Here is a 25,215-nt window from a genome sequence, read left to right as displayed (position 1 = left end):
TACATGGGGGTCAGGGACCCACTTGAGGAGGCAGTCTGTCCGTTCTCAGAGCTCAAACGCCATGCTGGGAGAACCACTGCTCTCTTCAGAGCTGTCAGACAGGGATGTTTAAGTCTGCAGAAGTTGTCTGCTGCCTTTTGTTCAGCTATGCCCTGCCCACAGAGATGGTGTCTATAGAGGCAGTAGGCCTTGCTGAGCTGCAGTGGGCTCCACCCAATTTGAGCTTCCTGGCCACTTTGTTTACCTACTCAAGCCTCAGCAATGGTGGACGCTCCTACCCCAGCCAGGTTGCTGCCTCACGGTTCGATCTGACTGCTGCACTAGCAGTGAGCCTGGCTACATGGGCGTGGAACCTGCCAAGCCAGGCACAGGAGAGAATCGCCTTGTCTGCCGGTTGCTAAGACCTTGGGAAAAGCACAGTATTTGGGCAGAAGTGTCCTGTTTTTCCAGAGACAGTCTGTCACGGCTTCCTTTGGCTAGGAAAGGGAAGTCCCCTGACCCCTTGTGCTTCCTGGGTGAGGTGACACCCCACCCTGCTTTGGCTCACACTTCTTGGGCTGCACCCACTGTCCAACCAGTTCCAATGAGATGAACCAGGTACCTCAGTTGGAAATGCAGAAATCACCCATCTTCTGCATCGATCATGCTAGGAGCTGCAGACTGGACCTGTTCTTATTCAGCCATCTTGGAATGAAGCCCATGGATTTATTTTTTAAAGTATTTTAGTAACTAGGTCATGATCTCTTCAAATGACTTCCTAAGCAATTCAAGAATTAGTATATTTTGTTTTTTCCTTTCAGATAATGCCTACTGTTGTGAGCTAATGTTTTTCTCTTTATTCAACAATGTAAAAGAAGATTAGACAAGTGCCATGCTGTATTCCGTGAAGTATCTTTGAATAAGGGTAGGCACCTAAAATCTGGCATTGTAGCAATCATCAAAGGCAGAATGATGAACACAACTTTCTGCATAGTGAATCAAGAGCATTTCTAAGGAAAAAAGAAAAGACAACTTCTAATCCTATAGGACGAAATAGAATGCTTTAAAATGCATGGGGGTACAGCACATTATCCCACAGAAAATGGAGCATGGGAGACTGCATTTAGTTGCCTCAAATGAGAATGGGAAACCAGGGCAAAAACACTTTGTTCTTGTGGCAGTATCTGTCACTCCAAAGTAATGTTGGGAATTTGGGCATGCAGCCAGATAACTTATGCAGTTGGCATTAAACACATTTTTTTGTTTGATTTATTTGTATAATGCTTCTATTTTCTACTCTTGTTGTGTCTCAAGAGACCCTAACTGTGGCATACGGTAGGCACTAAGTGAGAACCAAGCAAGCTGCAACCGAGCTATGATAAAAAGATGTAACAAACACCAACCTTCTTCTGCTCAGGGATAAGTCCAGCTCATGGCTTGCAGTATTTCAAATGCAATATTCACTTTGCTGAAGTGGGCACAGGCCAAAATAAACTGATACTTTGCTGTTTTTTAATCAGGCTTATCTTTTCAAAATTCACAGAAGTCCTAACACTGTAAGGAAGGGAAATGGAGACTCTCTCCACAGGTAGCTATTAAATGATCAGAACCTGGTCACTCTAGGAGCTGAACTGATTGGTCTTTATCTCTCTGTGTGTCTTTTCTACCTAAGAGACTCCAGATCATTCTCCAAAGGCCAGTTCCAGCCCTACCATTTTGAAAAGTCTCCATGACCACTCTGAAAAGGTAGAGCTCCTCTGAGCTGGATGCCTTTAGTGCCCATGACATTTTAAAATATGTGTCATATGCTACTTTGTTATCTGACTTAACTGTTCATATGGGTGTTGTATCTTGCCAACACCTGTAAGCCCTCTGATGGCAGGGGCCATTTCTTTTTTCAAAATAGAGATGGGGTCTTGCTATGTCTTGAAGTCCTGGGCTCAAGTAATCCTCCTGTCTTGGCCTCTCAAAGCACTGGGATTACAGGTGTGAGCCACTGCACCTGGCCCCTGGGTGCCATTTCTTATAGCTCATCTTGCTCATAATCAGCCATATGATGAGATACACAAAAGAGCTACATGTTGTACGTCAAATTGATTTCACTTATTACCTTGGCTCTCTTATACACACAAAATCAGCTTTTGTTTTTAAATATTAGATGTTTACTCTGGAGACGGCAATTCCCCCACCTGTCATGGGACAGTTTCAGCTGCTGGGTTTGCTGCTCGTGGGCATTGATGAGTAGCTTTTTCAGCAGCTCACACTGCTGGCTGAGGTGCAGGTCTCGGATTTCTTGCTCCTCAGCACTGTGGGTATTGATCATTTCTGACCATTCCTTTGTGTGCTGTGCTACAATCTCTTTGACCTGTTTGGGAAAAAGGGGACGGTGCCATTGTAATCCTCATAGGTCAGGTATGAACCCAAAAGCACAACATTATTCAGGTATTTCAGGTTCCTCCCACCAACTTAATTGGTGAATCATGAGACACCTATAACCACCAAAAAATAATATGTATTAATCAATGGGAAGCAGGAAGTTATTGCTTATCAAAATAAATCAATTGCTTTGGCTCTGAATAGTTAACTGTGAACCCTTATTTTACTGCCTCACTTAGCAACACTCTGTTTTGTTTTTTGTTTGTTTGTTTTGTTTTTTTAGATAGAGTCTGCCTCTGTTGCCCAGGCTGGAGTGCAGTGGCATGATCTCAGCTCACTGCAACCTCCACCTCCTGGGTTCAAGCGATTCTCCTGCCTCAGCTTCCCAAGTAGCTGGGATTACAGATGCGTGCCACCATGCCCAGCTAATTTTTGTATTTTTACTAGAGACAGGGTTTCACCATGTTGGCCAGGCTGGTCTCAAACTCCCGATCTCAGGTGATCCACCTGCCTCGGCCTCCCAGAGTGCCGGGATTACAGGCGTGAGCCACCACACTCAGCCAACACTCTGATTTGTGTGGGCCTTAGGCTCTTTTACCAATTCCATCAGGATTTTCTTTATCACCTTATGTTTCTCCAGCTTCATGTCCACAAGCCCACATGTCTGAATAGAGAGCTGTGTGTTCTTTTATTTCTGGATCATGACTTACTGTGTCAACCCTGATAGACACTAGGGTAGAAAGTCCTCCCCACCCAATATCCAAGCTCTTTGCAGTGGGGTTTTGCAGTGCCTCTTGTCAAGAGCTGGAGTCTGTTTCTCCAGCTCCTTGAAGCTGGGTGACCTGTGACTTGCTTTAGCCAATGAGATAGTAGCAAATGTGATGCAAGCAGAGGCTGGAAAGTACTTGCCCTTCTGCTATGCTGGGATCCCTGTGGCTACCCTCTGACTGAGCCTGTGCTAGCCTGCTGGAGGTTGATAGGTCATGTAGGAAAACAAGCAACAGCCAGACAACTACCAGATACATAAGTAAGGCCATACGCCCCCTGCTGACAGTAGATACACAAGTGTCTCCAGCCAAAATCAGCAGAAGTATGGCCCAAATTTCTGACCCACTGAATTGTGACCTAATAAACTGTAGTAGTTGTTTCAATGTGCTCTTCTTTGACACAGTTCATTATATAGCAAAAGCAAACTGATACTGTTGCCAAGGCTTTTCTTATTGATGCCAAGCATCTAAGAATCATGACAGTTTGCACAACTACTAATTCTCAAACATTCCAGTTAAGAAGAGAGAGAGTGGGGAATAACTCTTAAAGACACATGCCTTACTGCCTCTATAGAGTTCATGCCCTACAAAACATACAGCTACCAAGAACATCTTGAACATCTTGCCTGCTCCATGCATGCAGCAGGGCCATTAGGCCAGATGACACAGCTGCATATAGATAGATGAGGCTGGCTGGTTCAACCACAGCTATTTTTGGGAGCTTTCTTTAACAGTTGTTGTTGGTTTTTTTTTTCTTTTTTTTTCCTTTTCATTTAAAAACTATCATTGCTGGAAGAATTGTTTTCATTCTTAACTGGGACTTAACACTTAGTTCTCCAAATGCCCACAAAGTTGATTAAAGTCTCTCAAGCTCCTATTTTCTCCTGTCTTTAAGAAAATGTGAGTAATTAGGCTTCTCTTTTAGAATATCAGCTCTTAATTTTTTCTCATTCCAAATTTCCATGTAAAGTTAGGATGGAGTAAGTATCACCTCCCAATTTGGGCGGTTTTCTGTCCTATGTTTAATGTTATTTCTATAGGGAAGTATATTCTGTATTTTATATAATATTTCCTTTTAGTATCTTCATTTATTATTTTCCTTGATGCCTCTGAGGCAGGCAACATAAATATTGTTAGCATAGTTCAACAGACAAGACAAAAGAAGATGTTCCATGAAATGGCTCTTCTTAAAGCCAGTGAGTCTGAGGCAAACATGAACCCTGGGCTCCCCTGACATCCCAGATCAGCTGCAGGCTACTAGACCAGCTCTGGGCTACTGTTATTTCTAATTTACACTAGGTACTCCTTCTAAAAAATTACAAAGTGTCTTCTGCAAGTCACTGCTGTAAAAATGGGCATTTTCTTACCTTAGATTTGTGATCTGATGTCAGCGTCTGAATTTTGATTTCTGTTTCTTTTTTCATTTCGAGACAATTACTTCCCCTGAAAATGGAAAGTTGCAAATGCATGCCAGAAATTAGATATTTTCCCATTCCCATGGGTCTTTGCTACAAAGCTTTCTGATGAAGATAATATATTCATCAAATATGAGATGTCATGGCTCATTGGGCAACACTGGTCTTTCTAGTAATAGATTCACACCTTACAAAATATTATCTGTTTCATGATTACTCAATTCAACCACTATACAAAGAGGCACTTCAAACCTAACAATTATTTCATCATTAAGGGGCTGTTGTCAGTTTCCATTTTGGTTCCTGTTTTTCTCAAGCTATTTTTCACTTATTCAATAAAATATTATTTGGGATGAAAACTGGAAAATAGGTCCTCAGACTTGAAGTGAATTTTTCATTCTTCCATTTCATTATAAAGCCAGATTTTTGTCTTTTAAATATGCCAGTGAAGGAGAAAATAGCAATCCTTGGCACCACAGGGCAATTTTTGCTTCTTATTCTATTGTGAGTAGGAAATATATGCTAGGCGAGTGCCCAGCAACTATTACTGCTTATTTCAGTGATTATGTCTTCCTTTTGGAATATCCACATCGCTGCTGAAACAAGAACAGGTCCTGAGCTTCATCTTCAGCATGTATACTCTAGGTTATTATAGCTCAAGTCAGAATGCTTCCTTATAATATAATTCCAAGTTCCTGTGAGAGAAGCATTACTCTAAAAATGCAAGGTCTCGCATCAAATCTAGCACTTCTCAATGGCTGGCACTGAGCAAGTTTCTTCTCTCTTCTGTTATTCAATAAGTTTGCAGCACTGCCGAAACATTCCCGTGACTTAATTCTAGACAAATCTTTCACAGTAAATGCAATGAGAGGTTTTATTCAACACTCTCATCTGAGGGCATAAGGGCATGCACTTGTAATATTTATTTGAAAATCAAGATTTTATTTTCCCCTTTCTAGTGCATCAACCTTCTTTATATTCGGGCTATGCAAAATAATTTCTGTAATTTAGAATTTTCCCAACTTTAGCTTGTCTTCCCTTGTTCCCCCATTCATCTTTTTACCATCACCTTAAAGATCCTTGAGTGGAAAGCATATGAGAGGTAGTCATTAGCCAAAGCTGGAAGCACTTGAATAAAGCTTCCCTTTCCCAGGTCAATCTTTCCTTTCAGCTGAGTAGGTAAGAGTAAGGGGAAACCTTTCATTTGTTTCAAAAATAGATCCTGCATGAGAAAGCTCCAAGGACTGTCACAGTTTCCCCTTTCACTAACTTTTTAGCAACTCAGTTGCAGTTAAAAGTCCAGGAAGGCTGGGTGCAGTGGCTCACGCTTGTAATTCCAGCACTTCGGGAAGCCAAGGTAGGCAGATCACTTGAGGTCAGGAGTTCGAGACCAGCCTGGCCAACATGGTGAAACCCCATTTCTATTAAAAATACAAAAAATTAGCCGGCATGGCAGCATGTACCTGTAGTCTCAGCTACTCAGGAAGCCGAGGCAGGACGATTGCTTGAACCTGGGAGGCGGAGGTTGCATTGGGCCAAGATTGTGCTACTGCACTTCAGCCTGGGCAACATAGCAAGACTAAGTCCAGGCAACCTTGATATCATGGTGAATATTAATGATGAGAAACTCTCCTCAGATATGGCTTTCCAGAAGAAAGTATCTGATGTCTGATTTTGAAGTAACTTTTAATGTATTGCTAAGATTCTACTCTTTAGAGTACTTGGAAATGCTCTGTGTGAAGAGCCTGCTAGGAGTGCTGCGTTTGACAGCAGAGGCTCAGGAAGAAATCTACAGATTAGACTTTTCCAGTCTCATCTACGTTTAGGATAAAACAGGGCTTTATTTGCTGAGAGACCTCCAAGAGCACTCAATAGCCTGTTTGGGGGGTTAAGTGTCACACCAGGGACACTTCTAATAATTACCAAGTTTATAATAAATTACATTTTGATCCCACATTATCTTTGAGAGTAAAAACAATCATGAGGTAAAGATATATTTTATCAATTTTTTAAAAATTTCTAAAGGTAGCACTCATGATTGATTGAATCAGAAAACTGTAATATTATTTTTAGCAAAGAAATTTACTCTATGGTGCTTGGATCTGAAATCTCCTTAATAAAAATTTTTGGTTTGGTTAAGCCAAAACTGTGTTTCTAAATACACCGATCCACAAAAATGCATGAAACATTTTTTGAAAAGATATCTTGTAAATACAAATAACCTTATTCTTGGAGAGTACTATAAAGTCATCAACAATTTGCTCCTTGGTATTAGAGTCTGTCTACCATCAGTTTCAATATTATAGCCTAAAATGTCATTAAATATGAGAAATTAATTTACAAAAAAGAAATAGGCCAAAGCTGATGTGGTTAGAATCTAGAAGAATCACAGCTCCTCAAAACTTACTGTAATCACTACCAATATTGCCACATGAGCTCCGAGGTGGGTGACTCACTTACTCACTTAAAATACAGATCAAAATGTTTTCTAAGCAACAGGCACATTTCTGCCTCAATAATACACAGTGAAACCTACGGGGAAAACAAAAGGCAGATGATGCATAATAACAGATGCTCAATAATCAGTGCCTGATTTGTATTTTTCTGAAAAATACAACTTTAATAAAAATGAGGGTACCTCTCAAATAGTGAGGCCTGATACCAGGGCAGGCATTTTAGTTACCCACCATTTACTCCTCAAGCAAATTACATTGGTTTCATGTCATGAACTTAGATCTTGGGATCTGAAATTTCGGCAATATGAACCAATGTCCAAGAAAATTATAACTAACATAATCTGTTCTGTTTTCAGAGTTTAGTTTTCTAGGTATATCTTGGGTGACTGTTAAAACAAAAAATAAAAAACAAAAACCAAATGCCAAAAAACCCAAGTAGGAAAAAGAAATCTCATTCTCCTTTTCTCTTGTGCCAAAGGTTGTGGAAAACTAGAAGACATCAGCAGAGATTGAAGGAAAGAGATAAAAACCAGAGGGAATCCCTGGAGAAGGTCAAAGGCAGGAAAAATAATTTCTCAGATAAATAGAATGTATGCGTGGTCTCATGGAATTTTCCCCAAAGTATTTATAAAGGGAAAAAAGTAATCTGACAGTGCAGAAACCTGTAAGATACCAGCTTAACCAAGTCATCCAGGTTAACATCACCAATAATGGGACATATCAATGTCACACCCCCATCCCCCCAATATCGTGGACTGAGAAGGAAGCAGCATTGTTTCCATGGTGTGCTTGCCACAAATGCATAACCTCACTCTCATCATGAGAAAATATCAGACAAATCCAAAAGAAGAGCCATTCTACAAAACAACTGACCAGCTCTCTTCAAAAGTGAAAGTCACAAAAGACAGGGAGAGATTGAGGAATTATCACATACTGAGATGACAACTAAATGCTATTTAATTTTGGAGGTGATCCCAGAGTGGAAAACAAGCACTTGTGGAAAAACTGGTAAAATGTGAAAAATCACTGTGGCTTGGTTAATGGTATTGCACCACTGTCAATTTCCTGGTTTGACAACTGTACTATGATTATGTGAGATGTTAACATTTAGGGAAAGTGAGTTAAGGGCATAAGGGAACTCTGTAGTATTTTGGAAACTTTTCTGTAAATTTAAAATTAGTTCAAAATCAAAAAGGACAATCAATTCTCAGAGTAAAGAGGTATTTTTTCAATTATTTGAGGCTAAGATTTCTTTCTCATATTAGAAATAATTATGATGAATTAAAAGATATCAGAATCTCTGCTGAGAACCTTCCCCAAACCAGAAGCTACATCCACTCATTGACCTGTTATGATGTTAGAGCATTTAAAATGAATGAGTTTCTTACTTCCCAGGAATAATTTTTAATGATGAAAATCAAGTCAACACTAAGTTCTTCCTTGACCTAAACAGCAGCAAAACTGTGGGAAAAGACAAAATATAAACATAGAGAAAGTCTTCAGAAGGAAATAAACAGTATTACCCCTTCTTCTTCATTGCCTTCTCTAGGATTTTCTCATGAGTCGACTTCTCTTTGTCATACTGTGCCACAATTTTGTCAACTTGCGTGCAGTGTAACTTCTGCATGGTACTGTGTTCCTGAACAAGAAGGATTTGCAGTTATGAATTGGACTCTTAGCATGGCTCACACCATATAGGGCTGGCATAACTTTCACCAGCTTCCCTAGAGTCTTCATTTAGAAAGTCAAGGAATAACCAAATCTGAGAACAGTACAGACTCCAGATCTCCCATTCAACACCGGTTTTTTTGTCCAAGGGCATTCCCAACATGGGAGTCTCTAGCCTCAGTCTAGTGAACATGCCCAGTTCAAATGCACTCCTGCTCAGCAGTGGGTAGTGCCAATCATCTCGAAGTCCTTTCTTCTACATATACACATCTCTGTAGTATTTCCACCCATTCATCTTTGTTCTGCTGTTTGAGACATGTAATTAGCCTACTGCCCCTTCCACACATTGGTCCTCAAACATGCAAGTTCAGCCACCATGTTTCTTCTCTTGTATATGCTAAATGTAACTATTCATCATGTGACATGGTTTCTAAACACCTGCACATTTTGGAGCTCTTGAATGCCATTATTATATAATGAGAGGCATCACTGTGTTTGTCACCATCAGCTGAATTTGAATCTACATCACTTAATATTTTCACTGGCTTACTTATCTAGAAGCAGTTTATGAGGATAAAGTGTTCAGGAGCTATGGCCTTCTGTTTTACAGATATTTAAAACATTTTCCCATCTGCTTCACGTAACCATTGAAATTGGGGCTGCAATGCTTTGGAAAGTAGGTATTTCAATATAAACATTATTTCTTCCTGGACAATGAAAAAGGCATTTAGCTACAGCCAATGACTTATATGAAATCAGATTTCTTTAGCTGCTCAGCCTCCCAAGCACAGAGGAAATCAGTACAATCAGAAATTTCCAACTCTAAATGACACTTGATGTTATAGCCTAACCTTACTCTTGAGAACCAGAAAAATGGGATGCTATTCATGACTGGAATGGGTGTACATGTTGTTCAGGTTATATAACCCCTCTCACCGTCATATTTCCTTTCACTTATTGAAGAAAATAGTGCCTTAATTTAAAAGCAAATTTATTTTCTTTCTAAGGTAGGCTTGACTTTATGCAAATCTAATTCATGAACTTCTTTTAACGGTTTCATAAAATATAAATGGGGAAGGAATTTTTAAGTCTTTACCAAGACTTCCTTAATTTCCCAGCTAAGAGATTTAACACAGGACTTGATCTACAATTCATTTATATATAAATTCTTTAGAAACGCATTCATGCACAAGGCCTCAGCATTCTTGTCTTTAGGAGAAGGAGTGGAGAAGGGTGATGCTGGATAGGGAGATTCCCAACATAGGAACTTACAGTGGGAACAAAGGCTAGGTGGGCTTGCTGTGGATCTGGGCTTAATTTGTAATTGGAATGCCCCATAAATCTAGCCATATTACCAATGTGTGTGCACCTTTGTGCTATAAACACATTTCCTCCAGAGCTTCTGCAATGTGGCACTGGGTTAAGGACATGGGTTTTTCAGTGCTGGGGTGAGTCACTTACCTTTCCAGAGTATGCTCATCTTTATAATTGGGATAGTGACATTTACTTCATAGGGTTGTTAGGATTAAAAGTGAATCTAATGTATCAAATGTGTGTTACAGCTTATTCAAAACACAGTGACATACAAACCTATCTATACTATTCAATACCCATGATAACACACAGAGAGTGACTTGAGATAGGGATATCAATCAGACTAATTAAATCAATAAATGTTTCCTCCATGCTTGATCTACTGCCCCAGGAATAGAGGAACATGTTGATGTATCCCTGAATGTATTTAACTACTCTTGTAATACTTTGGTACCTACTAAAATGCCCTCCTCCTAGTCTTCTTTCTAAGATTTAGAAATCATTATGGTTGGCTAACCCATGTGTTAATTTTTCCTGGGCAAAAAATTAAATAAATAAGGGGCTTTCTGCAGGTCTCAAAATATATCAGAAGTGCCACAGTCCTATATTATCTTGCAAATATCATTGAAAGGAGGGTGAAGGCTATTTCTTTAAATATTTTAGTGCAGAACAGGACAAGTAGAGACTTTGAGGCTTGGATGTAAATTGACACAGATTTTTTTCCTAAGAAAATATTTTGGTGAACCTTATTAATCCAATTAGATATGAGGAATAGGGCTCTTTGTACCACAAAGTTGTTTATGATGGATTCAACTCTATGTAATATGCTCTACAAGAGCAGGGCAGGTCTTTTCTCTTTACCAGTACATGGCACAAAGCCTGGTACAAAGTATATGCTCAATAAGTATTTATCGCATGAATAAAAAGTCAGCATAGGAAAATAGCAAGAGGACTTAGATTCTGGTCCCAGCTCAGCCAATAATTAAACAACTGCCCTTGTGTAACATATATAAATCTTCCCAGGCCTCAATGTCTTTATTAGAAAACTGAGTTAGGGCTGGGCACAGTAGCCCATGCCTGTAATCCCAGGACTTTGGGAGGCTGAGGCGCATAAATCACCTGAGGTCAGGAGTTCGAGACTAGCCTGGCTAACATGGCAAAAACCCAACTCTACTAAAAATACAAAAATTAGCCGGGCATGGTGGTGCACTCCTGTAATCCCAGCTACTCTGGAGGCTGAGGGACGAGAATTGCTTGAACCCGGGAGGCATAGGTTGCAGTGAGTCGAGATCATGCCACTGCATGACAGAGCAAGACTCCATCTCAAAAAAAAAAAAAAAAAAAAGAAAAGAAAAGAAAAGAAAACTGAGTTAGGTACCTTTGCCTAACCGAATTCATGAGTTGCTTATGAGATGCAAGGTTACTAAACATATGCAAAAATAATTTGAAAAACTGAAAGCATATTGAATTAAAGTGACTATAATTAATGTCAGTAACAGGAAAGCTGGTCCTGAAAAATTGTCTCTGTTTCTCTTTTTATTCAAAACTCCATCCCTGTGTGGTAGGCAGTGATTGCTGAAGTGTTTTGGGATAACTTGATTCCCAGACACCACTTGTCCTTTCAGAAAGAAATGGGGATCCTAATTACTGATTTCCATGTGACTCTGGTCAAGTCTCAGCTCATTGTGCTGTAAAATGAAGGAGGCATGAAATGATCTCTAAGTCCATCTTAGCTTAAAAAAAATGTCCATTATTGGTTTTATTCTTTTGGTCCTTAGTTAAATCATGAAACACTATTGAAGAGACATACATTTCTCATTCATTCAAGCCAAGAGTACCAAAATTAAATGTGTTAACTTAAAGTAAATCTTAACTGGGACATTTTGGGGAAAAACATGTATAGCATTCAGAAGAATTTGTGTACGTTTCTTATCCAAGTTAAGAGTAAATTCAGCTTCTTTTGGGGAAAACTGCTGCTGCAATTCATTCTTGTGACTGATGTGACTATGGGCGTGAATGATCGCACCACAGAGGGTGCTGAAAAATTGGAGTAAATCATGTTTGCTCAGCATGTAACTCTGAGATTACCAATAGGCGGACTCTGAGGGCAACTGCTGTGTCTCTGCCCCTTTCCACTGCAAAACTAAGTTATAGGTCTGGTACTAAGGTCTGACCATGAATTAAAATTGATGAGTTTAACAACAGTCTTGGTGCTGTCGGCTAAATTGCTTGCATAGCAAAGAGAAAATTTTCCATCAGTAGCTTTACTAAAAATGCCAGAGTTTAGTAGGCTTCTCAGGCATTTCATTTGACTCATTTAATGTTGATACTGCAAACTGGTGGCCTAAGGAATGTATCCTGCCTGCAGATGTAGTTTTTAGTTTTGGATTTTGTTTTGTTTTTTCCTACGCAGTTTCAAAAAGAGGTTGAATTAGACGCCGATAGTAAAAGATCAGGAAATTCAGATAAGCTTTCTGATTTTTTGACTCTCCTTTAAGAGGACACGACTGACCCATCTACTCTCCAGGCACCAATGGTGGTAGCTCAGACTGACTTGGCCTGTGGATAGAGATGAGTGCTCCCAGCTTTTATGGAGTCAACACCTGTCCAACTTCCCTCAGCTACTTCCTGCTTGGACCCCATAGGCATTTGAATTGTAATTCCCCTTCTAACACGTTACTGGAGATATGTATCCAACTTTGGGTTTTACATTTTTGGCTCTAAGGAATTGACCTCATTGGACAATTGAAAAGCATGCCTGTCTCTTAATGAAAGTAACTGCAGCTCTGGATCCCAATGAGTCATGTGCTGGGGGAGGATTATTGTTAATTAATTCTCCTTTTTCTGTGTCTCATATAATAGACACTTGAAAAACCATTACCCTAGTTTCCATTTCGAATTGAAGTGGTTCTAGAAAGTATGAGACAAGTAGAAGTTTGATTGCCAGTACATTCAGAGGGTCAAATGCAGTTGATCATTGCCATTTTCCAAAAATAGACATTTTAATGAGCATTTTTATATCCATCTGGGGTGCAAATGGTCGTTACCCCCATCTTTTCTTCTCAATATCCTAACAGCAAATTGCACACCTATTTGCAAATGGCAGAACCTCACACTCACCCCACTGTTCCTTTCTATCTGGTAGCTAACCTGCAAGTTTGGAAATAAGCTCTCCTTGGGACCATACATTTATTTCTTAAACTGCTGAGATATAGTTCATAGATTCTCTGCTTCTCTTTAAGTCTAAAAAGTAGAATTATTTATCTAGGCCAGCAGTGGCAAATCTTTTGGCTTCCTTGGGCCACATTGGAAAAAGAATTGTCTTGGGCCACACATAAAACGCTGACACTAATGATAGCCAATGAGAGAAAAAAAAAAAAAAAGTCTGTGCATAAATCTCATGTTTTAAGAAAGTCTACAAATTTGTGTTGGGCTGCATTCAAAGCCATCCTAAGCTGCATGTGGCCTGGGAGCTGCATGCAGGTTGGACAAGCTTGATCTAGGCTGATATGTAAGAGCTGAGATCTCCCTACAGTTGCTGGATATAGACTAAATAATAGTCCCTGTTCTTAGCTACCAAGGGCTGTTTGGGCCAGGGGCACACTAGTAGGGAGAGTGCAGCCCAGGTCATATTTCTTCATCAGCAGGTCATTTTATGACATAAGGCTTTGGGGTGGTAAGCCTTAGCTCCATGTTGGGTGGCTGAAAACTATTATAAAAGAGCTGTAGATGTCCTTTCACAGAAAGGATGTAGGAATTAATTCTTACTATTATGTGGCAAGAGGATAAAACCTCTGTTTCTTTAAGGAGGCTTGATAAGTGTCTTTGCAGGCGATTAGTGGGGTTTCTACTAAGGGCTCAAAAGATAGTAAAAAGTGCTACATAATGTTCCTAAAAAAACAGTCCTCAAAATTTAGCATGCAGAGGAGAGGAGTTTATCTAAAATGTATTTCTGTATTTCCTATATTCTTTTCTTAGAGATGATAGCTAAGTGTCAGATAGGCATAAGAATACATATTTTTGTAAAGCCTCCAGCTCTTGGCCCAATGACCTTATGTTGAAAAACCAGTCCTGAAGGAACCCAAGATATTTGTGCCCTGATAGGTTCATGATTGCTCTTAAAAACCTGTTAGTGAGACCATAAAGAAAAAGATGTGTGAAGAGAAGAAAAATTAGTGTGAGAAACATCAGAGGCAGCTGAGTATAGTGGTTACAAGTCTGAGTTCTCAAGCCGGGCTGAATTTGGTTCAAATCCTGACTCCACCACTTAAAAACTAGATGATTTAATGAAGCTGTGTTTTTTTAAGTATTAATAAGCTAATCTGTTGAATAGCCGGTAGGCTATAAAAATGGCCACAGTTATTTCCCTTTCTGCATCCACTCCCACTTCTGATGTAACTTTGTCACCTGTCAAAAGGTAGAGACCTCATAAGGCCAGACTTAGGACCTACTTTGGCCAAAAAATGAGGTGGAAGTGATGGTGTGTTAGTTCTGAGCTGGGGCCACAAGAAACTATGCTTGATCTGCTTGGTCTCTCAGGACCCCAGCCATGTGAACAAGCCTGGACTAGCCTGCTGGAAGACAGGAGACCACATAAAGCAGAGAGGAAGTGGTTTAACAGAGGCTGACCTAAATCAGCCAGTCCCCCATCTGCCAACCAAACTGGTAGTAACAGCAGATTCATGAGTGAATACAGCTGAGACCAGAAGAACCATCCAGCTAAACCCAGCTCCAACTACTGATGCACAAAATTGTGAGCCAAATAAATGGTCATTGTTTTAAGTCACTACATTTTAGGGTGGTTTGTTACCCTGCAAAAGCTAACAGATACAAAACTCATATAATTATAGTACTCCTTTATATAACTGTTATGAGAATACCTAAGAATATGTGCTTAAGCAAGTATCAATATGTACAAGCTAGTATTGCCACTTTAAAAGTGTTGACTGACAGAAAAATCAGTGTTAGGATAAACACGTCATATGGAGATCAGGCATGAAGTATGTCCAATGGTAATAGATTCACCACATTGTTCCCCTCTCCTTAAACAGTTTTTCATTTTTTGGTTTTAAAGACAACATGTTTTTGTTGTTGTTGTTGTTGTTTGTTCTGTTTTGTTTTTGAGACAGAGTCTTGCTCTTGTCACCCAGGCTGGAGTGCAGTGGCACAATCTCAGCTCACTGCAACCTCCGCCTCCTGGGTTCAAGTGATTCTCCTGCCTCAGCCTCCCAAGTAGCTGGGATTACAGGCACCTGCCACCATGCCTGGCTAACTTTTGTATTTTTACTAGAGACAGGGTTTTGCCATGTTGGCCAGGCTGGTCTTAAACTCCTGACTTCAGGTGAGATCTGCTTGCCTTGGCCTCCCAAAGTGCTGGGATTACATGCATGAGCCACCATGTCTCGCCTAAAGACAATATGTTAACAGAGCTGGCATCGGTGTATATTAGGCAAGTAAATATTCATTATATTCTTCATCTTAGAAGTTAGCTTGGGCCGGGCATGATGGCTCCAGGGAGTTAATGGACAACTCTGATGTAGGTTAAGTTCTAAAAATTGAGGGGCATCCTTCCTTAGTCACAGTCCTGATAATCAGCAGTATATCAACACTGCCCAAAGTTGATAGTGATTTTCCCTAATGTCCCATGTGCTGTCACTGCATTTGACCCAATGAGGGAACTTGTCCACTTAGTGAGCATCCCATATCCTACACAGGAGTATGGTGCAAGACTATGGATTCTGGACTCTTGATTTTGGTTCAAATATCAGCTATGCTGCTTCCTAACTCTGGGACATCAGATAACTTCACTAATTCCTAATTCCCTCACATATAAATGGAGACTCACATAGAATTTACCTTACAGGGTAGAGTCTTAAATGAGACAATGCATATAAGGTGCTGAGCACAGCATCTGAGAATTACTGAGCATGCAGGAATTCTAGCTGCTATTATTGCTGCTATTATTACCACCCGCCACAGCATATTTTCTGGCCATGCCTCAAGAAAATATTAAATGAAGCCAAAATCTTTATGTTTCCAACTAGCCCAAAGGCCACTGAGGTGTCTGCTCAATAAAAGAGATCCAATTTAAATGCAAGAAAAATCTGTTAGATAGTGCTGCAGCATACGGGCATCCACTCTATTCCAAATAATTAAAGTCATTTAAGGTGCTTTCTCTCTTATTTCTCATTCTTACTCTTTTTCTGTTGGCTTTCCATAGTTCAGCCTGTTGTCAATAACCAACAACATTGAAGCCCCTACTTTAAATTGTTCTGTCTCCAATAACCCCATTGAGCAATGTAAGGAATTTCACTGAATGGAATTATTCATGAAACTTAGAAACAGTCTTTGAAGTGAAGTGACTGTATCAGCAAATCCATTGAGCCCAACAGTTCTGTAATACAGGGAACATTACTAGGATAAGATTAGGCCTAACTTCTAAAAAAAATCAGTGTTAGGATAAACTCTTAAAGAAATGACTTCTCAAAAAATCAGTGTTAGCACAAACTCTTAAAGAAATGACAGGGGACAGGGTTCCAGACAATGTTCTCGGCATCTCAATACGTGGAATGATTAAAAGGTACATCACTCAAGCCAAGTTCTGAAGGACATGCCTTGGTTTGAGGCTTGGGTCAGAGAATAAAGAAACAGGAATGCAAGATTAGTTTAAAAGAACTCAGAAGTTCTTTCAAATTAATAAATTATAAATTAAGTTTCTCTTGCTCTCATTGCCCTTAATAAAAGAGGACAGACATTATCCTACCAGCAGCAGCTGGTTATTATATGTTCTTAGGAAGGAAAGAGGTACTACCTTTTTCTTCTTTACCTGTGAGGGAGTCTGGAAGTGACGATGTTTGAGGGCCATGACGTTTTTCAACCCACAGGAGAATTCCTGGGGCCACCTCCTGCTGTTCTCTTACAATTTGCAACTAGCTCTTGTAATTTTTCACAATCACTGTCAAAATACCACTTCTTATGGGTAAAAAGCAAAAATAAATCTATTTCAGAAGTAGGCTACTGGGCAAGATTTACATAAGGGAGAAAAAGTGACAAGTGTTCTCTCTCTAGGTGCTGTGAGTGGGAGGTTGACAGATTGCTAGCATCTCCCTCCATGCACCAGTGTGTATGGCAAACTATGTGACAGTGACCTGGCAATTTAGGTAACTAGTGGCTAGAATTGTGAGCTGGTCTTCAATATTTTATATAGTCATGTTATTAGTGAAATAATTTTTCTTTTTTTTTGAGATGGAGTCTTACTCTATCACCTACACTGGAATGCAATGGCACGATCTCAGCTCACTGCAACCTCTGCCTCCCGGGTTAAAGCGATTCTCCTGCCTCAGCCTCCTGAGTAGCTGGGATTACAGGGGTATGTCACCACACCCAGCTAATTTTTGTATTTTTAGTAGAGACAGGTTTTACCATGTTGGTCAGGCTGGTCTCAAACTCCTGACATCCTATTCTACCCACCTTGGCCTCCCAAAGTGCTGGGATTACAGGCGTGAGCCACTGTGCCCGGCCTAGTGAAACAATTTTTAAATGGATGAAGCTTTGTTATGCATTTGAAAGAATTGTTAGAAATGCAGACTACAAACAAGTGACAAGCACTCCCAAACCGATTCTATTTTTTAATTTCATTGTTAACCAGTTAGAATGAGTTATTACTGTTAAGTGGTCTGGTATCAGCTTCAAAGTAGTGTTTTTGGCTACAAATGATTCATCCATACATAACACAAAATAGTAGCTGTAGAGCACTGTACCTTTGCATGTTTCTTCTTTAAAGAATTTAGCTCCTTCTGCTGTTTCTTTAAATGCTTCAAGTAAGCCTTTGGGAGAAAAATAGAATCAAAAATAGGTTTTTTGTTTTTTCTTTTTGTAATCACAATGATTACACTTGGTGAGAAACAAAAATATATTGGTGTCACCAATATGTGTAATACAAGAGTGCTTGCAAAATAGTCAAGCAATTTTACCTTCATCTGCTTTAAGTCTTCTATCCTTACTTGAGGGATAAGTTCAATACCTAAACAAACAAAAAAAATTAAGTCACTATGTATACTAAAAATCAGAGAGAATAACTGGTAATATAGAACTGACATATCGAAATCTCATCGAAAGACTTTGAAGCAGCTTTACATATGATGAATATAAACATCTTAAGTTCCTATTACAAAGCAATTAACTGGACAATTGAAATGTTGAATGTCTTAACTTAGGTCAGGTTTCCTACAAGCAGAGCCTGAGAAGGGGATTCATGTGCAAGTGATTGATTGAGGGCAGACTCTCAGGAGAAACCCCTAAGGGAATGAAAGAAGTGGAGCAGGGCAGAGGAACAAGGTAGGGTGTGTTTCCAGTAGAAATCCAGCCTCAGTCTGATCCTGCAGGGAGCTCTTCAGTACAAATGGCACCCAAGAGTCATTCCACCTTGGCAAAAAGAGGCTGGGCATTTGTAACCCTGGATCAATCAGCTGAGTGCTACAGAGGTTTCACAAAACCTTTCAGGCAAGGGAACTCTCATGGTCCCAGGGCAATTCTATGGAGAAGGGCAGCTGAAATGCCCAATCAGCCAAAATTCATAGGAGCTGTGAGATGGGATAGTGAACCCATAAAGGGGAGCTGATCAGGCACAAAAGTATCTATTATCCTTATTCTTACCTTTGTATTTCAAGGCATATCATGCCAGTCAACTAATTCCCAACTCTATTCTCAATTCAGTCATTGTGAAAGAATAAAACATTTTTTTCTGGCTTCTCCCTTTTACCAAATTCAATCTTAGCATTTAAGCAATGTGCTATTGAGCACAGCAATGCCTTAAACATACAGGAAATAATAAAATCAAACCAGTGTATAACAGGAGCATACCAGGAGGAGCTAGGGTAATACACTAAGTCATCCTGCTATCTGAGTGATGCTAGGCCAGGTGTTGTCATGGCAACAACAGTTGTAGCCAGATCCTCAAACAGTTTCTGTTTGACTGCAGATTTTCATCTTAGGCAAACAAAATGAATGTGTACTCTGTGCTGTAATTGATTTCCATTAGAATCCCAAAGGCTAGGTATGATATATTCAAGAAAGATAGGCATCAAGTCCCAGGCTCTTGTTTTTCCCTTTTATTCATTTTAAGATGTGCACATTCAATGATAGGGTGGTCAGGCCGCAGAAGGAAAGTTTTGGCTGAGGGAAATCAGCCTTGTGATCTGTAACATTTTATGATCGGGGTATAAAGGGTCCATGGGGCTCTCTACTGATCTCCTAAGTTGGCTTTCACAAGCTGTCTCTCTAGTGACTGAGGCAGGGTAAGGCAAGGGAGTGACTCCTGGCACACAAAGAGCTCCCTGTCTTTAGGCCTCAGCTCTCTCATCTGTAAAATGAACATACAGGATTTGGGGAGTATGCAAGGTCCTCCAGAGATCTAGCAAATTCTGAGTTTGACCCAGTCTGATGAAACTTACACTCTCTCTCTCAATTTTTATTTTCTTTTTGTCTTGGTTCAACTAAGTCTTGATTAAAAGGAACCTACAAAAACATAAACTTCCCTCAACTACCTGGTTTTGTGTTTTGGGGGAAAGACACAATTTGTAAAAATGTTGATTCCCATAAGTGATTTAGTTAGAAAAAAAAAAACCACACTCTACAGAAGAGGACAGTTCCATCTGCGTGCCAAGAACAGCCTTCCTCATAGAGCTTTGCACAATAATGGGAATGTTCCATGCGTGGGTCTGTCCAACTGACGGCCTCTAGCCATCTGTGGCTCTTGAGCACCTGAAATGTGGCTAGTGTGAATGAGGAACTCAAGGTTTAACTTTTAAGTTAATTGTTAAATAAATTCAAATAGCCCTATGTGGTTAGTGGTAGCCCCATGTGGTTAGTGGCTACTATATAGGACTGTGCAGGTCTACAGGCTTCCCTGGTATGAAAGTAGGTTAGGCAGCACATTTTGGGTTTTAGCTAATTGAAGTTTCACTACATAAAGTTTTTGTTCATATCAGCATAGTTCCTTAACAATAACTTGTTTTCTCTTAATTGCTAATCTGGAAGTTAGGAGCTGGGTGTTCTTAATCCTTTGTTCTTAAAATCAGAAAAAAAAAAAAAAGTCGTGTTGGTGCAGTTGTTGCTGTTTGGCTGAATGTCTAAGAAAAACAGTTTGGAATTTCACACCTCCCCACCTTCATAGAGGTCTGCAGCAAATGCCGTCTGCTCCAGCCACACACTATGCCCTCTCTACATCAGCTCTTCTAGTTCACTTCCAATTGCCAGCGTCTGAATGCCGAGAATTTATCCCTTCCACGGGAACCCTCAAGAAAAGGCTGACAGGAGTCAGGGTATACATTCCCCAGCTCCCTCATCCCTCTAAGAGGAGACCTCTGAGAAGTATGTCCAATACCAGCCCCCAGAGTTTCTCCAGGGCATTAAGTTCCAGGTGCCTACTGGCAACTGGCTTTAAAACATTCTAATTACTGGCTGCCTTCCCTCCCTGGTGTCACTTCTTCACATCTCTATCCATGTCCACTGCCTCCCAGAATAAACTACTTGCACTGGAAGCCTTCTCTCAGGGTCTTTGGGGTGACTCAAATTAAGACAGTTTTCTGGAAAGAAATGGAGGCTTGCTTTCTCAAATGACATCACTTCCCCCAAAGGCTCCTGGAGTAGAGTTTATTCCCCACCCCACCCCAATCCATGGAGAGGCGTGGGAAGAACACCTATAGACTTCTCTCTTGTACTTCCATGCCATTCTCCTAAAAACTATCATACAAAAGAACAGACCTCTCACTTACACCAGGCTCTGCTGAGCCTAACTACCTCCACATGTGTCCTTTTAGGTCACACACTGCCCGGCCCCATGAACTTCATATCTGAATTGTGGTTTTCCTATGCAGGCATTCCCAGACGTCCAACACAGTGATTCAATATGCATGAGAAGAATGTGCTGAGTGACTTTTCTTTCTGTTTTCATGATGCCTTCCATTCTAGAAATCTTCATCTCTACTTTACCTCACCTCCCACTGACAGTTGTAAACGGGATGTTAACACTGCTTGAAACTGCCCTTCCTCCAAGACAAGTAGCTTAGAGTAACCTCTTTCTGACTGCAATCTCCATCCTGCCAACTTCACTCACTCCCTCACACCTACCAAGCAAGCTTTTTACTTTCATCTTGTTCCTGGTTCCCTTTAACCTTTTCCTTTCCTAGAAAAGTCTCTCTCCTCTAGTATCTACCCCACTGGAACATTAACCTATATATTATGATCAGGGTGGCAGACTGAGTGCAAAAATGGCCAAAAAATTCCACCCCTCCCTGTTTCCACACCTACTTACATGTGACTTTGGAATTTCTCCCATCAATATGTGGAATCTGTTTCCCCAACTCTTGAATCTGAGCTGGGCCATGTGACTTGCTTGGGATGACAGAATGTAGTGGAAAGGATGCCATGCCAGTTCTAAGTCTAGGACTCATCAAGGAACCTGACATACAGATGGTTCAACTTACAGTGGTTCAACTTTGTGATGAAGCAAAAGTGATATGCATTCAGTAGAGAGCATATGTTGAATTGTGAATTTTGATCTTTTCCTAAGCTAGGGATATGCGCTGGGGCTGCAGCAAGCCTCAGCTCCCAATCAGCTGTATACTCTACACTGTACTGCATTTAATAAGTTACACGAAATATTTAACACTTTATTATAAAATAGGCTTTGTGTTAGATGATTTTGCCCAACTGTAGACTAATGTAGGTGTTCTGAGCACATTTAAAATAGGCTAGACTAAGCTAAGCTATGATGTTCGGTAGCTTAGATATTAAACACATTTTTGACTTAATGATATGTTCAGCTTATGAGGATGTAACTCTGTCATAAGTCAAGGAGCATCTGTACTTTCACCTCCATTTTAGAACACTGCAACTACCATGTGAACAAGCCCAGGCTAAGCTGATGAAAGATGAGAGTCCACAAGGAAGACAGCCCACTTGTCCCAGCCAATGACACTTTAGCTGAACCCCAAACATTTGAATAAGCATAGCTAAGATCAGCTGAGTCACTGATACTAATCCTCCCATAACCAGAAAAGCCACCCAGACAACCTCATGAGCTATAATAGATGCTTACTTATTTAAATTACTGACTTTTGTGATTGCTTGTTACACATCAATAGCCAACTGTTACAGTGTCATAACTTAATGGTCTTCAAACTTTTGGTCCCAGACCATATAAATTGTGATAATTTCAGGCTTGCAACTCCCTAAGCTGTACTTTGTCCACAGTTGTTGCTGAGTTTCTGGGCACTGCTGAAGAAGTAATGAGATCAAGCTACATCAACTTAGTACACACCACCAACCCTCACCAGGGTCCTGTGTGCTATGTGGCAGACCTTCTCCTTATTTCCTGTGGATCATTCTATTCCAGCCAGGGGCAACTCCAAAGCTTTTCTATACTGCTGTTTTTCAGTTCTACCTCTACGTTTCTCAGCAGAGAGCAGCCACCTAACCAACTTCTTAGATCAGATAAAATCTATCTGTGTTATACTACAAAAATGACCACTATTTCTTTCTCCTCTAATCAAGAGGTAGAGTCTATTTCTCTACCCCTTGAATATTGGTTCACTTTGTGACCTGCTGTAGCCAATGGGAGACTAGCAGAGGCTGGAAAAGGGCTGCTCTTTAAACTCAGGGAGTACCATATGAACAAGCCTGCTCAGGCTTCAGGATAATGTGAAACAACTTGCCAAATGACAGATGTGTGCATAAGGTCATCCCACATCTACCTTCCAGTCAACCTATCAGCTGATCACAGGTGCATAAGCAAGACACAGAGATTAGCCAAGCCAGCTTAGACCAACCAACCCAATGAAACATGATCTCAATAAATGGTGGTTGTCTTAAGCTACTAAAATTTGAGGTCATTTGTTATGCAGCATAAGCTGACTGATACACCGTCTGTCAAGAATTCTTCCTGTCTATCCTGAAACTTCTATTCACTCATCATTCTTCTTAGCTCAGACAGAACATATCTCTTCCTTCCTTATCCAGCTGAATTTCACCCTTTCTGTTGATTCAGATCTTCCTTATAGCCTTGTTTTACCATGTACTCTCTTTTGCATTTTCCTTGTTTTTCTTTATTAGTTCCTACCAACATGCTACTGTCCTCCAGAACAACCATTTTATGTCTTAAATTATGTCTCACATTTTTTTAACCATGTTTCTACCTTCATCATCCAATCACCCCTGGTTCAACTATAATTTTGTAGTCTTCACTTCTCTGGACTTGTCTACAGCATCTTCTCAAAACTAATTCTTCTTAGAACATAGATCTCTCTTTTCTCTTTTTTCCCCATTCATTCTGCCTTCTAAGTATTCTTATTCTGTTTCTCTGTCCCTCCTTCTTCTTCTCCACCTGATATAGATTTGGTAATTGCATATTTCTGCCCAGATGTATCAGCAACAGCTTGTCCTCAGTGATATACAGAACCAAAATCATCTTCCTTACCAAAAGCAGCTCCTCCTCCTAACTCCTCTACTTCTCTCAATGGTACAATCTATCTCTGGGATCTGTCCTTGAAGTCTGAGTTACCAAAAAGCCCCTTTCTGCCTAAGGCCCATATCAAAGCTGCCAACTTATTTCTTTCTTTCTTTTTTTTTTTTTTTTTTAAGATATAGTCTCCCTCTTTCACCCAGGCCGGACTGCAGTGGCGCTATCTCAGCTCACTGCAAGCTCCGCCTCCCGGGCTCACGCCATTCTCCTGCCTCAGCCTCCTGAGCAGCTGGGACTACAGGGGCTCGCCACCATGCCTGGCTAATTTTTTGTATTTTTAGTAGAGACGGGGTTTCAACATGTTAGCCAGGATGGTCTCGATCTCCTGACCTCATGATCTGCCCGCTTCGGCCTCTCAAAGTGCTGGGATTACAGGCATGAGCCACTGCACCTGGCCTCAAGCTGCCAACTTATTTCTATTCTTCCTTCCTTTTGACAATTTCCAACTTAATCTAGATTTCCTTGCCCCTATCATTCATTAAACAGCGCTTTACTTCCTGAGAAAATAGACTACTAGATTTTAACTAGGCATGGTTCCAGGGACACACTGATGATGAGGTGTGGTCTCATCTGCAATGACCTCTTTCTCTGGTTGTTAATACTTTATTAACACAATGTGATAGGTGTGTTATAACAGAAGCATGAGTATCATAATTCTTACCTTGCCCTTAGCATGCCCACTTTCAATGAATTCTTCTGCCAAGACTATAATTTTCTTCAAATACTCCTTTGACTCATTTCCCATGACCTTCTCAGGATGACCCCAGAATTCTTTCCAGAACAAGAAAAATGAACTCCTTGCCACTCCCTATCAGCATTCTCCCTGCCCACTTTCCCTCCAGTATGGAATGGGCACCATCCAATCAATGGATGTCTGGCCAATTCATATGGAAACCAATTAAAATAACCAGCACAGTTGTTTCCCTACATACTGGCTGAATATGAGACACGTGATTCTTTGTGATGCCACCTCTTAATGATCTTTTGTTTCATCTACAGGTAAGCACATGGAATTGGCCTTCAAGTGCTCATTTGATAATTTTACAAACAAATAATCATGTTTCTACTTATGAGGGAAAATTATCAGTATGAGAATTTAGAAATGTCCAATAGGAATAACTATGTTGGTTCATGAGCCCACGGCCTGTCCAGGTAACTACCTATGGGAGGGTCTGGAAGAGAGTGGGGATGAATTAGTTAACATCACTATGTAAAAGGTTCTTTCCCACAAAGAACTTCGAATTTATATATTTCCTAAAGCTATAGATATTGTACACTGTGTAATTAAGGTGGGTGCAGAAGATAAGGAACCCAACGGCTCTCTCTCACCTTTCTTGGCTTCCACACCAGAGGCCAGGGCAGCCGTGGTGGTTGGTCTGAGCTCAGAGCTACTCTGAGGGGTCACATTTGCTTTGGCGGTGTTGGCCTTTCCTTTCTTGTCATTTTTGGAAGTGTCACTGGGCACGTCGGCTATGTCACTCTGGAACAGAAACATTTACATTGACCCAAATGAATGTCACTCAAGGTCAAATATCTTGTACATTCTTTATTTTACTGAATCCAGTAAACTTCTACCATACTCTTCCTAGACTTCTACTCTCTTAAAGGCAAAGGATCCAGCCAAGGAAAGAAGATCCAACTTCTTAACAAGCAGAGAATACTTTCTCTTTTTCTAGCTATTGGAGAGATGCTACATCCATTCCAAACTGAGGAGTCTG

The 25,215-nt window shown here is 40.4% G+C and overlaps 1 protein-coding gene across 20 annotated transcripts in view; it reads right to left on the bottom strand.

Annotated features, from left to right (window-relative positions):
• Nucleotides 1-25,215, bottom strand: part of PLCB4 (phospholipase C beta 4) — a 412,131-nt gene that overhangs the window by 18,830 nt on the left and 368,086 nt on the right. For all 20 annotated transcript variants that reach the window (XM_024451898.2, NM_001377134.2, XM_005260724.3 and 17 more), the window contains 6 exons: nucleotides 24,827-24,977; nucleotides 17,949-17,998; nucleotides 17,736-17,801; nucleotides 8,517-8,632; nucleotides 4,490-4,565; nucleotides 2,169-2,344 (listed from right to left, as the gene is read on the bottom strand). In XM_024451898.2, the coding sequence (XP_024307666.1) occupies nucleotides 2,169-2,344; nucleotides 4,490-4,565; nucleotides 8,517-8,632; nucleotides 17,736-17,801; nucleotides 17,949-17,998; nucleotides 24,827-24,977 (635 nt within the window). The remainder of the gene's footprint in view (nucleotides 1-2,168; nucleotides 2,345-4,489; nucleotides 4,566-8,516; nucleotides 8,633-17,735; nucleotides 17,802-17,948; nucleotides 17,999-24,826; nucleotides 24,978-25,215) is intronic.

The sequence above is a fragment of the Homo sapiens genome, chromosome 20 (genome assembly GCF_000001405.40).
Source record: "Homo sapiens chromosome 20, GRCh38.p14 Primary Assembly".
In the NCBI taxonomy this organism is placed as follows: Eukaryota; Metazoa; Chordata; class Mammalia; order Primates; family Hominidae; genus Homo; species Homo sapiens.
This window is presented reverse-complemented; position numbering and strand designations above follow the sequence as displayed.